Source organism: Homo sapiens, chromosome 2 (genome assembly GCF_000001405.40).
Source record: "Homo sapiens chromosome 2, GRCh38.p14 Primary Assembly".
In the NCBI taxonomy this organism is placed as follows: Eukaryota; Metazoa; Chordata; class Mammalia; order Primates; family Hominidae; genus Homo; species Homo sapiens.
Window position 1 is genome coordinate 197874889 of NC_000002.12, and position 14355 is coordinate 197889243.

General features: G+C 36.8%; 1 protein-coding gene across 2 annotated transcripts in view, besides 1 other annotated feature; it reads left to right on the plus strand.

Moving 5' to 3' along the window:
• The window catches only part of PLCL1 (phospholipase C like 1 (inactive)), a 345271-nt gene that overhangs the window by 70296 nt on the left and 260620 nt on the right, over positions 1 to 14355 (plus strand). The gene's annotated exons all lie outside the window — the stretch shown is intronic.
• Positions 14119 to 14208: an enhancer, noted in NCBI's record as "active region_16945". NCBI's record gives its function as "activates an Ori minimal core promoter by ATAC-STARR-seq in GM12878 lymphoblastoid cells {active_cell/tissue: GM12878}" and the evidence as "EXISTENCE:reporter gene assay evidence [ECO:0000049][PMID:35858748]".

The window sequence follows — 14355 nt, forward strand, 5'->3', positions numbered from 1 at the left end:
AATACTATGCAGTGATGAAAATGAGTGAACTATAGCCATGTTCAACAACATGGATAAATCTCACAGCCATAATACTGAATGAAAGAAACCAGATGCAAAATAATACATATACTCAGGCCAGGAGCAATGGTTCATGACTGTAATCCCAGCACTTTAGGAGGCCGAGGTGGGCGGATCATTTGAGGTCAGGATTTTGAGACCAGCCTGGCCAACATGGTGAAACCCCATCTCCACTAAAAATACAAAAACTAGCTGGGTGTGGTGGTGTGCACCTGTAGTCCCAGCTGCTCGGGAGGCTGAGGCAGGAGGATCACTTGAACCCAGGAGGTGGAAGTTGCAGTGAGCCAAGATCACACCACTGTACTCCAGTTTGGGTGACAGAGGGACACTCCATCTCAAAAAAAAATACTGTATTAATGTATTTATGTAAAGTTCAAAAATAGATATAACTAAACTATAGATGGGATAAGGACAGTCAGGAAATTATAATACAGTTAGGAATTTAGGACATTTGTTGCTTTTGAAAGGAGGAAGAGGGTAGTGATTGGGAAAGGCAGGAAGGAACATCTAGGGTACTCAAAATGATCTATTTGTTGACCTGGTTGATGGCTAGTAAGGTGCACTCGCTTTTAAAAAGACCGCATTGAGCTTCCTTTATATTTTGTGTACTTTGCTGTGTGTGTGATATACTTCAGTATAAAAAGCTAAATAATTACTACAGAAGTCATATTTATTTGATATCTACTCTTTGCTCCCGACATAACACCCAATCTTCCTGTTATTTCCTCAGGGAAATATGGTTTGCTTTACTGTCATGGTTTCCAAGGATGCATTAGGCTTAAAAAAAAAAACCGTAGAACTGCTACCATTTGTTTTGTCTCTATTGTGATAAAATTTCCAAGTCATTTACATATTTTCTAGATAGTTGATACATTTTATTAGTTCTTGTTCCCAGCAGATGTGTGAGACAGGCTGGTATTGCAGTCCCTATTGTTCAGATAAGGAAAGTAGACACAGGGAGAGTAAATGTTTGGCTGAGCCTGGAATTGAAATGCAGTTCTTTTAACATTCCTCTGTGCTGTCTGACTATATAACACTGCTACAGTCATAGATAACTCAGAATTTCCCCAAAACTTGGACTCCCAGAGAAAAAAGATTTCCATGAACACGAATAGGCACTAACTATAAAAACATTTTTGTAGATGAAATTTACATTTGTATCTAAGAAGTATGGTTAAGCACATTGAGGGGAGTTACTCACTGATTCAACAAACGTTTCTGAGCATTGGGTATTGTGCCTGCCTCTGCAGGAGATGGAGCTAGGAATATTACTATAACACAAACGTGATAAGTGAAATAATAGAGAATCCCACAGTGTTTTGTGGAAAATATTGGCCCAGAAGAGGGGCTGGTAACGAGCTTCTTAGAAAAGAAGCATTTGGAAGGTCTTTTGGAGGAGGGGATCCCGGAATCTAATCTGAAATATACAGGGATGCATTTTATTTTATGTAAAACTTGATAGGTCAGTTAGATTTCCTACATTTTTCCCCTCATAATATTTTGACCTCCCAATTTTAAGAAACTTTGTATTCTTAGAGAACATTTTTTTTTTGAAATTTAAAGAACAGATTGAATTTCCAGAGATGGCAACTGGATGGTAAACTCCTTGAAGATAGGACATCTTATACTACCTTGTTTTTTTTCCAGGGTCCAGTTGCATAATAGCCTGTTCATTAAGATTATTGCAGGATTGTTTTTGGAGGGGGCTATTTTTGGTAGAAGTGAGTTCTTCATTTTAATACTACACTTGCCTTCTTTGTCAGTGAATCTAAAGTGCTGAGCTGTTAGATTTGAGGTTGTTCAGATATTTTATTTCAGCTGAATTCTAACATCATCAAGTCTTGCATATCAAAATCCATTTACAAATAAATTCAACTGAGCTGCATACAGCCTGTTGGTGGTATTAATTTTTAAAAATAGGTTATGCTATAGATTTTATTTATAGGCATTTAGATGAGCGTAAAGCTCTAAGGCAGCAAAATCCCATGTACAATACTGATGCCAGCATAGGCCACTTTTCAAGGTTGACATTTTTGTTTTTCAGATATGATGTGTGCATCATCTTATTCTTTATGTGAGGTTCAATAGATGATCCCTTGTTTGTAAACAGAGGTCAGGCCTAACCAAATTTCAGCAAAGAAATTCAGTTACAGAAAGAGAATGTAATAACATCAAAACCTTTATGTGGAAACGGTATTTTGCATTTCCTGATAGACATATCCTGGCATCTCTGATGACATCCACTAAGGTGGTTCTCTAAAATATTTTATAATTGCTGATGAGTCATTAGGTAATATGGAGAAAATGCCTTAGATCCTTTCTCTTTTTTATGAGAGGAATGCCTGGGAAAATAAATGAAAGTTCAAGTGGGAGACAGCAGAACATTAGTGATAAAGGAAGCAACATGAGGGGCCTGTGTTTATAAGGGCTTTTAAAGTTAATTATACCATTAAAAAAATTTGTGAAATGTAAAATATTGGCCCATAGTATAGGATAGTTGTGGGAAATATCTCCTGGAAGTGATACTCTCATAGTGTGCCACTTTTCCGCATCATCTTAACATTTGTAATAACCTAATGATGGAAAGGAAAAAGCACTTATGGTCCAGAAATAAAAAGAAATAATATATTTTACCAAGTGAATGGTAAACTATTCTTAGCCAATTAGTAGCCTAATGATCTGCCCAGGCCTGACTGGTTTAAAATGATGGTAATTCTAAAATATAAACAATTGCTTAAATATATGTCAAAAAGAAAGGAAATGAACGCAAGTCCACTGCCTTAATTTCTTAGAGCAAATCCTAAAATAAATGTTTTGGGAGGTTAGAATAAATGAAATAAAAATGAAATTACCGTAGTTTTGTAACAGAGTTCTCAAATGAGGGCCTTTGGATGTACTTTTTCAGGGGGTCCTCAAACCTCTTAAAATTGTGTGCAAATGTAGTAAATCAAAGCCATTTTTCAGGAGTAAGTAGGTCCTACACTTTTATCAGGTTCTCAACAGTTAAGAACCATTGATTAAACCAATTCCTAGTGTGTGTTAGTTAGAGACAGTGGGTAAATAGTTGGGAAATATAACAAGCCTGTGAAATATGCCTATGTATATGGTAACAAAGATGAAAGGAGGCTATATTTCTGGGAATGCAATAAAATGGTATCTATGTTATTAAAATGTTTGCATAGAGAACTTTATTCTTTTGTTGAGATGCAAAACTTTTATTTCCCTCTGTACTATGTTGCCTTGTCCTGCAAACAGACAATGAGAAATAACATTCTCCATGATTAGAGCTGTGCTTAGATCAGAAGTTTGGACATTCTGTTTATTTTTCTTTAGTTATCACACTTTGCTTGTACCACATCACAGATTGAATAATGAACAAAGCAAGGGTGGCCTGGTAGCAGCAAGCATTTGACTTGTTACTGAAAATGAGCTTACTGGACTTTGAATTGGTTACTTCATATCCCCAAGAACAATTTGCTTCCCCAAGAACAAAATGCTATGTACATTTTGCTTTTTGTTAAGAGCAAGGTCAACTGTGATTAAAGTCAGCCTATCTTTTGGAATATGAATGCATTTTAAATGGATTTCCATTTTCTAGGATACATAAGCAAGATATTCCTCAAGTCAATGGGGGATGAAAGTGCTCCAGAAATTATCTGTGATCCTGGATCTGTGGAAAACTGTGTGTGTGTGCATGTGTGTGTGTGTATACAAAGTTCATTGAACAAAGTATAATAGAAAAGTAGTGTCTACCTTAGGATCAAATTGAAGTTTCCACACCATTTTTTCACCCTCGTTTGACTAGGCTCTCACAGTGGTCTCCAAGATTGTGCATTATCAGGTTGGGGGAGGGAGAGTCAAGGAAATATTTTACTCTGTTCTTTTTCCATAGTTTCCCTGAGCTCTCAAACTGGCAGCCAGCTGGCTGAAGCCTGCCCACAGACATGTTTTATTTGGCCCATGCAGTGCTTTTACAATGTTTGTGCCAACATTTTAATAGGAAGATTTCACATATGGATCTGCATTTCTGCATTGTCTTGAGAAATCAGAAGACATGGGAATAACTGGCTGGAGCTGAGGGGCAGTTGTCTTCCTCCCGCTGGGGCACAGCTTCCTTCTGCAGTTCCTTCCATGACTTCATGTGCTCACACCCAGCCCAAGCAGTTATTTACCTGCTTGACTGCTGGAGGCAGTTTGAGATTGGCTTAAGGCTGCCTTTGAGATTGCCTTAGTCTTCTGATTAATAACCAGGTTTTGTATAAAGCTATCTTCTTGGTCCCAGAGAGCCTTATTACTTAATAATACATAGATATCTGACCATCAAATCTAATAATTTTCAGGTTCAAAGGATTTGGAATTTCTAATTTGGGCTTGAAGTTGGCAAGGAGTGCAAATAAAAGAGAACACAAATGCCTAAAATGCTTATCTGTCCTTACAAACATTCAATTTCTGTTGTGTATCAGAGCTGGTCTGAAGCTGTAATTACAGTAGTGCTGTAACTAACTTGTGCTTGCTGGTTCTGGAATTTGATGATAAAAAATGGATTTTTTTTGGCCTTAAGACAAAGAGTTGATTGATTAAAAAGGCATTATGGTATATGTAGACTTCTAGGATGTTATGATTTCTTTATGCTTTGGACAAAACCCTGAGGAAAATTTAATAGATTTGGGTTGTCTCTTTAATTTGTGAGGCTGTAAATTTCTAATTTTAAATGTTCAATTATTTTGGTCAGGATAAAGGGCTGTGCAAATTCAGATAGTCTTCCTTTCCAATTGTTCCAAACAACCCTTTCTGGTTATGGATAAATCTCCTTGCCAAAACTCATATTCAACTTGTTGGAGGGCTAGCCTTTATCTTTCTGCCTAAGGTCTTTGGAAGCCATTTTTAATCCCACTAAATTCTGCAGTTTGATTAAGATAGAGTGGCTGAAACAAGGTATTTAGTAATATCATGAATGTGAAGGTAATTAGTATTTAATGTCCAAAAGAGAAAAATAAAAGCTTGCCAGTGTGCTAACTTGGAACGATTATATTTCTTTCGAAACAATTTTGTTTTCACATACTGCTAGCCTAGCAATGAATTAGAATGCATAAAAGCTCAGGGGATTTGAATGTGGGAATGGATAAATGTTTTATAATGAGGTAGAGAATTATTGCCCAACCTTAGAAATAAAAGCTACATAAAATTATGAATGTCCAGATCAATAGCATTTTTTAATATTATAAATCACTTTTGGCAGTGCTTATGTATGAGCAGAGCAGTGATCTAATGATTATGAAATTAGATTTTTTTTCCCTCTCTCTCTTTTTCTCTTCTATTTTTTTCCTCATAGAGGCAGCCGAAGGACTTTGGGTAAACCACTATAACTTGCTACATTTCCCCAACAGTGAAATTTTTAGAAATATGTTTGAATGTTCTGAGTACAGACTATATTACTTCTGTGATTTTTTTAGGCTGACCAGAGGTGACATCTATTTTTATGTGAAAAGTAAAAATGAGATGATCTGAAAGAGTTAATTTTGATAACTGCTTTTTTACTTTTTAAGTAATTTTATTGTTTTACTTGTCTTCAGGTGTTCTAAGACACAATGGAAAACATAAGAAAAAATGAATTTCCTTTCCTGGACTATAAGGAAAAAGGCAATCTACTCCAAAAGAAATGAGAAGATGCTTCGTTAGGATTTTATCTAGCACATCTAGAGTCTAGAATGAACAACATTATGTATAGGAGAAAAGTGGAATATTTATAGTTTTTTGTTTTTTAAAGAGATGAAATCTCACTGAAGGTTCTTTATAAAGCTCCATTATGGGAAGAATCACCTGGACAGATGTTCAGAATAAAGTCATCATGGTCAAAAGCAAACATTTACCAATGCATGACAGTTTTTGTCTTCTTTTAGGCAGTTGCCTTACCTTTATTAGTGCCTGACAATTTGCTAGTTAGAATAAAACCATACCTTATGCTGGTTTATTGCTTTAAAATTATGCCCATCTGAAAATGTCTAAATGTGCAGAAATGTACCTTTTAAAGGTTAGTCAATGTGAATTTAGAGCTGTAGGGAATTTAGGTTGCTAGGGGACTCTGTGGTTCTCCTTCAGAATTGTTAAAAAATTCTCTGCCAGCCTGTGAGCTCCCTGAGGGCAGGCACTGTGCTCATCTCTGTAGTATCTCCTACTCCTAACACAGTTCTTGGCATGTAGTATATGCTCACTTTTCTTATCTAACTGACAAGTGAAGGGGTAATCAGCTGCTAGTGTTTCTGTTGCTAATATGTGACGGTTTCAGCACCTTGCGAGGCAAGTGTGCGACTTTGGGAGAAACAGAGGTTAACCAAACAATCTTGCAAATTAATGTAAAATTCCTGCTTCACTAATCAGATTTTTATCTCTGTTATAGGGGGACAGCCCTCTTAGTTTTGTGAGCAGAGCATAGTTTGTGAAAGAGCCCATGGTTTTCAGGCCCAGGTGGTGTTTCTTTTGAATTCTTAGGCATCTAGTTTGGACTAGCTTCATGGTTTTTGCCATATACTGCTCTGTATTGGAGCAGTCTGTCTGGAAGAAGGAACAGTGCTCTGTGTGTGTGTGTGTGTGAGCTAGTTTTTAGTATCCCCTCTGCTACTGCCCATGTGACCTTGGCAACTCACTTAACCTCTAGGCCTCAGAGTTATCATGCTAAGATTGGGATTTATAACTGCTATGGCCCCTTTAAACTTCAGTATGCTGTTTGAATGCATGTTTTAGTGCTTTTATTAGTCTGTATGTTCTTATGCAGCTTTTTGGTGTGTGTTTTAAAAAACTTTTTATTATAGATAACTTTGACCACACACAAAAGCAGACAGATCAGTAATATGAACCTGCAAGCATTCATCACCCAGCTCCAACAATCAATCCATCAACTCATGGCCAATTCTGCCCCATTCTGCCCCATCCTCTTACTCTCCTTATTATCTGGAAGCAAATCTTAGATACTTGTTATTTAATCTGTAAATATTTTGTATTTATATGTTTTCTCACCTCTCAGGCAGGCACCTAACATAGAACCTCGTATACATTAGGAAACAAGATGATGGTTTTGAATAAATGAATGAGAGTGGGTTGGGAAAGGTAAGAGATGAGGCACCTCACCCCCCACCCCAAATTATAAATATTTAAAACATTTTAAAAATTGTTAACCTATAGTTCCTCAGGGCAGTGGAGGGGGAGGAGCCAAGGCTTCCAGTTATTGGGAATCCTAATTTGGTGTGGAATATTAAAGGGCAACTTTATCTATTACATGTAATCACTGTATCACCAGGGAGCCCCAGCATGTTCCAAGAAGTTAAGGTACATGCCAAAGATAAGCAAAAAAAGGCATGCAACCCTATGGGTGCATCTTGAGGAAATATATTAGCATTAGGAGATAGCACAACCTAAAGGCCAAACTGTGTTCATCTAATTTAATGGGAATTTAAAAATTTATGGGAAGGACTTGACACTTGATGCTTCTCTTTATTTTATACTTTCTATTACCTGTTTTCTAAACATTTTTTATCCTTCACAATAGTCTCTTTTCCTTCTTTCTTTTCTTTTCATTATTTTCCCAACAATGCTAAAGCACTCAAGGGAGTTTTGTTGAGCACTGAATTATGTGTAATATATTTTAGCCAAAGTATGCATACTTACTTTGGATGTATTACTCCCAAATGTATAGGCAACATAGTCTGCATACCACAAATAAAATAAAAACAAGAATAAAAAATTCTAAGTAAAAAACTTTCCTTTATGCACTAAAAGTATTTGGTAAGACTGTTAAAAGCAGCATTATGTACAGTAAATATAAAACTGCAAATATATACTATATGTATACTTATAAGGTATAGCAAATATAAAACTTCAAATAATCTAAATATCCTTTAACAACAGAATGGATAAGTGGAATACTATGCACTAGTTAAAAATAATAAACTATGGCTACCTGCAACATTATGGACGTATTTTACAGACATAATGTTAAGTGAGAGATTATATGTTGCACTATTCCATTTACATCAGGTTCAAAAACAGGTGAAATCAATCTGTGGAATCAGAAGTCAGGATAATGGTTAACTTGATGGGGGAGTAGGTGATGACGGGACAGAGCTTGAGAGAGGATTCTAGACATTGCAGATGTTCTATATCTTGAGTTGGGTGGTGGCTACACAGTTGTGCTCATTTTGTAAAATTTTATCAAGCTGTTCATTTAAGATCTATGTACTTCACAGTATGTAATTATATTTAAATGAAAAAGTAAAAGGAAAAAATCCTTCCTTTTGATTACTTAGGAACACCTAAAGTTTAAACCTATTGTCAGCCTGACCATATAAAAAATAAGACTTGCCTTACTAATCAGATTTTCTCTGTTGTATGGGAGATAGACCTGGTAGACTGAGGAAGAAGTTATAGACACACGAAGTTTTTACTGTACAAAGTATTTGTTTCTCTGCCTCGTGGGATAATAATCATCAATAAACTGTGAAATGATTGTTACAATAAAGTACTAGTTGGATACATCAGTGTTGGCAGCTGTGGAAAACTTATTATTTTCCTACAGGGTGCATAATTAATGGGTCATGTAAGGGAAGGTCCTGACTCAGGGTTGGAGTATGTATTATACTTGCCAAAGGAGTATGACAAGAGGACTTCAGAATGAAGTTCAGCATATATTTAGTTGCAAGAGCAACTATACATATAAGTAGTATTTTAATACAATGGAAATAAACCTAGGGCTGAATTGATAGGTGAATACAGTAAAAAATGTATTGCCTTTAGAAAAGGGTAAAGGAAGTGATACTCACATGATATAAATAGTAACACTTTTAGATAGGAGATAATTCTTCCTTATATCAAGTTGAGTAGGACTATTTTGGGTATCATGTGCAGAACTTGTCCTAGATAGGATTTTGCTACTGGGAACATTTGGCTCTGGTGCCTTTTTTCTTCTCTTTGTTTTAAGTACAGAATGGTATCATATGAGAACAAAACACGAACTTTGGAGTTAGACTGCTATTAGTTCAAATCTTGTCTCTATCTTAAGTTGTTTGACTTTGGCAAGTAACTTCTCTGACACTAATTTTTTCATATTTAAAATGGGGGTTCTACCTAACTGGGATATTTAATAGATATATCAATCTATCTTTGTGTCAGGACTCAAAATAACTGTAAACACACAGTAATTTATTCCACTTAAAAGAAGTCCAGAGATAGACGGTCTAGCACCGGTACATCTGCTTCCTGAAATGACCAGCAACTTAGGCTCCATTTAAACTCTTCAATCTGCCATTCTCAGCACGAGTTCTATCCTCAAAGTGGATGTTGGAGCTCCAAGCCATCTTCCTCATTCCAGACAGCTGGAAGAAAGATGGGGCATAGGGCAAAAAGTTTAGCTCCCAGTTGAGTTCTCTCTCTTTTAGTTGTCCTAGAAGTCCTGTACAATACTTCCATTTTGTTTCTTATTGGCTAGAATTTAGCAATATAACCTCACGTAGCAACAGAAGGAGGCTGGGAAATGTAGTCTTTTAGCTGGAATAAAAATGGGGATTGGTTACTAAGGAAGAAGTGGAAAGTGATTTTGGCTGTCAGCCAGGAATCTCAGACACGATGTTCTCAACAAAACTCTTCATGGCCCCTCTCCTTAGCAAATTCTATCACTATCCACCAGATAGATAGCTCACTCTGAAAATTTGAGGTTCATTCACCAATCCTTTTTTCCCTTCATTCCCCATATGCAAATTAGCAGCAATCCCACAATTCTAAAATACATCCTGAAATCGGAACCCTCTATCACTACTATTAAATCCACAATTTAAATCACCATCATCTCTTATCTGGATTCTTTCAGTTACCTCCTGATTAATTCCCTGCTTCTTGTGTTGCTTTCCACAGATCACTGCCTGCATAGCAAACAGAATGATTTCCTAAAAAAAAAAAATTGAGACTGTATTGTTCCCTTGCTTAAAGCCCTCCAACAGCTTCCCATTGCAATAAAAATAAATGTCACCTTCTTATTTGGCCTATAAGGCCTGACGTGGTTTGGCTCCTGCCTCTGTAAACTCATCATCTACCCCTTGTCCCCAGGTTCTCATGCTCCAGCCACAGTGGCTACCTTCCTGTCCCGCGAATGTACCCAGTATATACTACCTCAGACTTTTGCTCTGGAACATTCGTTCTCATTTTTGCATGGCTAACCCTTTCTGAATTAGTCAGGGTTCTCCATAGAAAGATAATCAATTGGTTTTTTATATTTTTAAGGAGATTTTATTATGGAGAATTAGCATATGCAAATATGGAGACCACAATGTGCCATCTACAAGCTGGAGACCCAAGACAGCTGGTGGTGTAATTCAGTCTGAGTCCGAAGGCTGAGAGCCAGAGGAACTGATGGTGTGAATCCCAGTCTGAAGGCAAGGGAAGATGAAATGAGATTTCCCAGCTCAAGTGGTGAGACAAGAAACAGAGAAGGGGGGACAAATTCCTCTTTCTTCCATGTTTTGTTCTATTCAAAATGGATTGGCTGATGCCCACAGTGGGGAGGGCAATATGTTTTACCGAGTCCACTGATTCCAATGCTAATCTCATCCGGAAACCCTCACAAACACACCCAGAAACGATGTTTAATCTGGACATCCCATGCAAGGTCCCGTCAAGTTGACACAAAAATTAACCATCACACTTTCCCGCAGTTTGGGTTTCAGCTCAAACATTTTTCCCTCAGATAGGCCTTCTCTGACCATCTTTCTAACTTCATGTCCAAGACATCCTTTGTTTCGCTATCTAATTATATTTGATTCAGGGCTTGACATGTGCTTCCACCCTGCTCCTCTAAATAGACAAAAATTTTGGCCATGTGCTGAATTGACCACGGTGTGGAGGAAGACATATTCTCCTGCATCATCAGTGGGGAATGCATGCATTGGCTAAAAACCTCTTTAGAGGGCACTTGTACAGTATCCATTAGAACTAAAACTATAGCTTCATGAGGGAAAGAGACTATGGCCATAGTAGGAGTTCAGTAACTTGTTGAAAGAATGGTGAATTTGAAGATTAAATCACAGAGTATCTGATTCCAGTTCTTTTTAACTTCCTTTTTTTCTCCATAGCTTTCATCCCATATTTAAAATGTCCTCTGCTAAGATGCCAACACATATCCTTTAAAGTAAAATTCCTAGCTGGGAGCAGTGGCTCACGCCTGTAATCCCAGCATTTTGGGAGGCTGAGGCGGGCGGATCACTTGAGGTTAGGAGTTCAAGACCAGCTTGACCAATATGGTGAAACCTTGTCTCTACTAAAAATACAAAAATTAGCTGGGTGTGGTGGTACGTGCCTGTAGTCCCAGTTACTCAGGAGGCTGAGGCAGGAGAATTGCTTGAACCCGGGAGGTGGAGGTTGCAGTGAGCCGAGGTCACACCATTGCACTCCAGCCTGGGCAACAGAATGAGACTCTGTCTCAAAAAAAAAAAAAAAAAAAAAAAAAAAAAAAAAAAAAAAAAGTAAAATTCTTCAAATAGGTGCATCCCAGTTCCTGGGGGCAAGGCCTCAAAATAAACCTAGTGCATCTCCCTGGATTGTCAGTTTATTTGAAGGTTTGTGGAAAAAAAAATTATCAGATTGTCAGTTTATTTGAAGGTTTGTGGAAAAAAAAATTATCAGAAAGAGTATGGACATATTAAAAATGTGAGGGCCTTTCGATCTACTTTCTAGGTCCCTGGGGGAACAAGCTCAGTGTCTTTGACACTAAGGGCTATTTGATGAAGTTTGAAAAGCACCATTTAAAGGTCTTAGCTCTTGGGTGGATATTTGCATTTTGATAGAGAATTCTTCAATCCATCATAAAGTTTTCTTTTGAGGAATTATGCTTACTGGGTTTAGCTCGGGGCAGTAGGTGCTGGATCAATCAAAAGTCTTCCCGAAATGCTAGTGATAAAGCAATATCCAGGAAGCCTTAGGTTTTTATATTCTGTTATTCTCTTCAGTTTGCAAGCTGCTTTAACATACATTATTTTATCTAATTGGCTCCTCACATCAACCAAGTTGAGTATAGCCATGCAAAGAATTAAACACTTCAAACAATATTACATTTTAAAATAACTTAAATGTAATTCCCTAGAGACCTGCATCCTTAGTTCCATTCTCTAAAGGGGAATTTCTTGCGTATCTTTCCAGACATATTTTATTAAGCATATACCATCTCAGATCTTTGGGTGTGATCTCCATGTATATTTTTCATAGGCAAATGAGGAGTAAACTACAATATATTCTGCTTTTTAAAAAAAGCATACTGTTTTACATTGGAGTGTAGTGTTTTATTGTATGAAGTACCCCAAATTCAGTTAATTCTGAGGGAGGGGAGACATTTGAGTTGTCTTCAGTATTTTGCTGTAATAGCTGATGCTCTTAGGAACATCTTTTACAAGATGATCATTTTTTTCTTTGCTCACATAAATAAAATAAATAACAAATTCCAAGGAGAGGAATTGCTGTGTTTAAGGCTGTGTTTAGTTCTGCTAAATATTGTAAAATCGCCCTCAAAAAACTTTTAACACATGCACTCCCCACTGATGGTATATGAGAGTAACTTTTTCCTATACCATGGTCAATTCGGTATATGAAAAATTTTGATCTTATTTTAAAATATTGTTGATTTGTATAAATTTCAGAGGTACAAGCACAGTTATGTTACATGAATATATTGGTAATCGTGAAATCTGGGCTTTTAGTGTAGCCATCACCCATACTTTGTACCCATTAAGTAATTTCTCATGCCTCATTCCCTCCCACCATTCCGAGTCTCCAGTGTCTATTATTTCATACTCTATGTACAAGCACATGAACAATTTAAAAAGTTTTGTTAATAAGATAGGGAAAAGGCCTGGCTCAGTTGCTCATGCCTGTAATTCCAGCACTTTGGGAGGCTGAGGATCACTTGAGCTCAGGAGTTCGAGACCAGCCTGGGCAACATAGTGAGACCCTGTCTCTACCAAAAATTAAGTGCGGTGGTGTGTGGCTCTGGTCCCAGGTACTTGGGAGGCTGAAGTAGGGGGATTGTTTGAGCCTGGAAGGTTGAAGCTGCAGTGAGCTGTGATTGTGCCACTGGACTCTAGCCTGGGCGACAGTGAGACACTGTCTGAAAAAAAAAAAGGAAAAAATCTTATTTTTACTAGCGGTCATTTAATTGAGATTGAGCATTTTCCCCCCAAGTGTTTCAAAGCTATTAGCAATAATTTTTTTTGTGTGTAAACTCTCTGGTTGTATTTCTCACCTAACTTCATTGAATTGTTGGTCTTTTTCTTTTCTTTTTTTTAATTTGTAAAGATTCCTCATATGTTAAAGATAGGTAATTAACCCTTTCTGCCATATGTGTTTCAAATATTTGTTCCCAGTTAATTGTTATGGTGTTTATGAGCAACCGTCTACATTAAATTAGGTGAAAGTGGGCTTCATTAGAAACATTAAGGGCTTATGAACTGGCAGAACAGCATGGAGAGAGAGCAAGAAATTGAGAGAAAAGGTCAGAGGTTGAGTCATGGAGCTGGGGCTTTCTAGCTTTATGATCCTGGACAATCACTTAATGTCAGGAGACCTCAGTTTCCTCAACTATAGAGTGAGGATAATTACAATACTTCCTCATAGAGTCATAAAGATTTAGTGACATCATGCATGTTAAAGTGCTCTATACATAAGACTAAGTGAATATTAGTTTTTATTACTGAACTATCTTGCATATTGGAATACAATACTTCAGGAAATAGAAATTTCTGTCTTCAATTATTTTTTGAAAGACAAAACTAATTTTTATATTTCAGATGTTTTTCTGCTGTTAGCATATCTCATGATTCCTGCTGATTCCATAATTAAGGAAGACAAATTTCTTTCTAATATTGGAATTAGAAATAAAAGATATGATTATTAAATGCTAATGAGTAATAAAGGATTATATGATACTAGTATTGAAAAGTAAATTAATTATATTAAAATGATAAGGCTAAATCTTATTTCCTTTTTCAAAATGTCAGTGGAAAAATTTGCTAAAATGCAGTTCTTTTATTTGCAGTTTTTTTAGATCATAAAAATAGAATGTTTTCAGTTTTGTATATGTGTAAAGTGAATGTGTAGAATTAGAGCTTTAAAAATTTTTGATCTGGAAACAACCTAGACATCATCTAGCCCCGGGCTTGTTTTTACAGATGAGGAAGTGAGAAATTCCGAGAAGCATAGTGACTAGTGAGTCATGTGGCCATTGCAGAACAAAAGGGAAGAAATTTTCTGTCTCCTGTCTCCCAG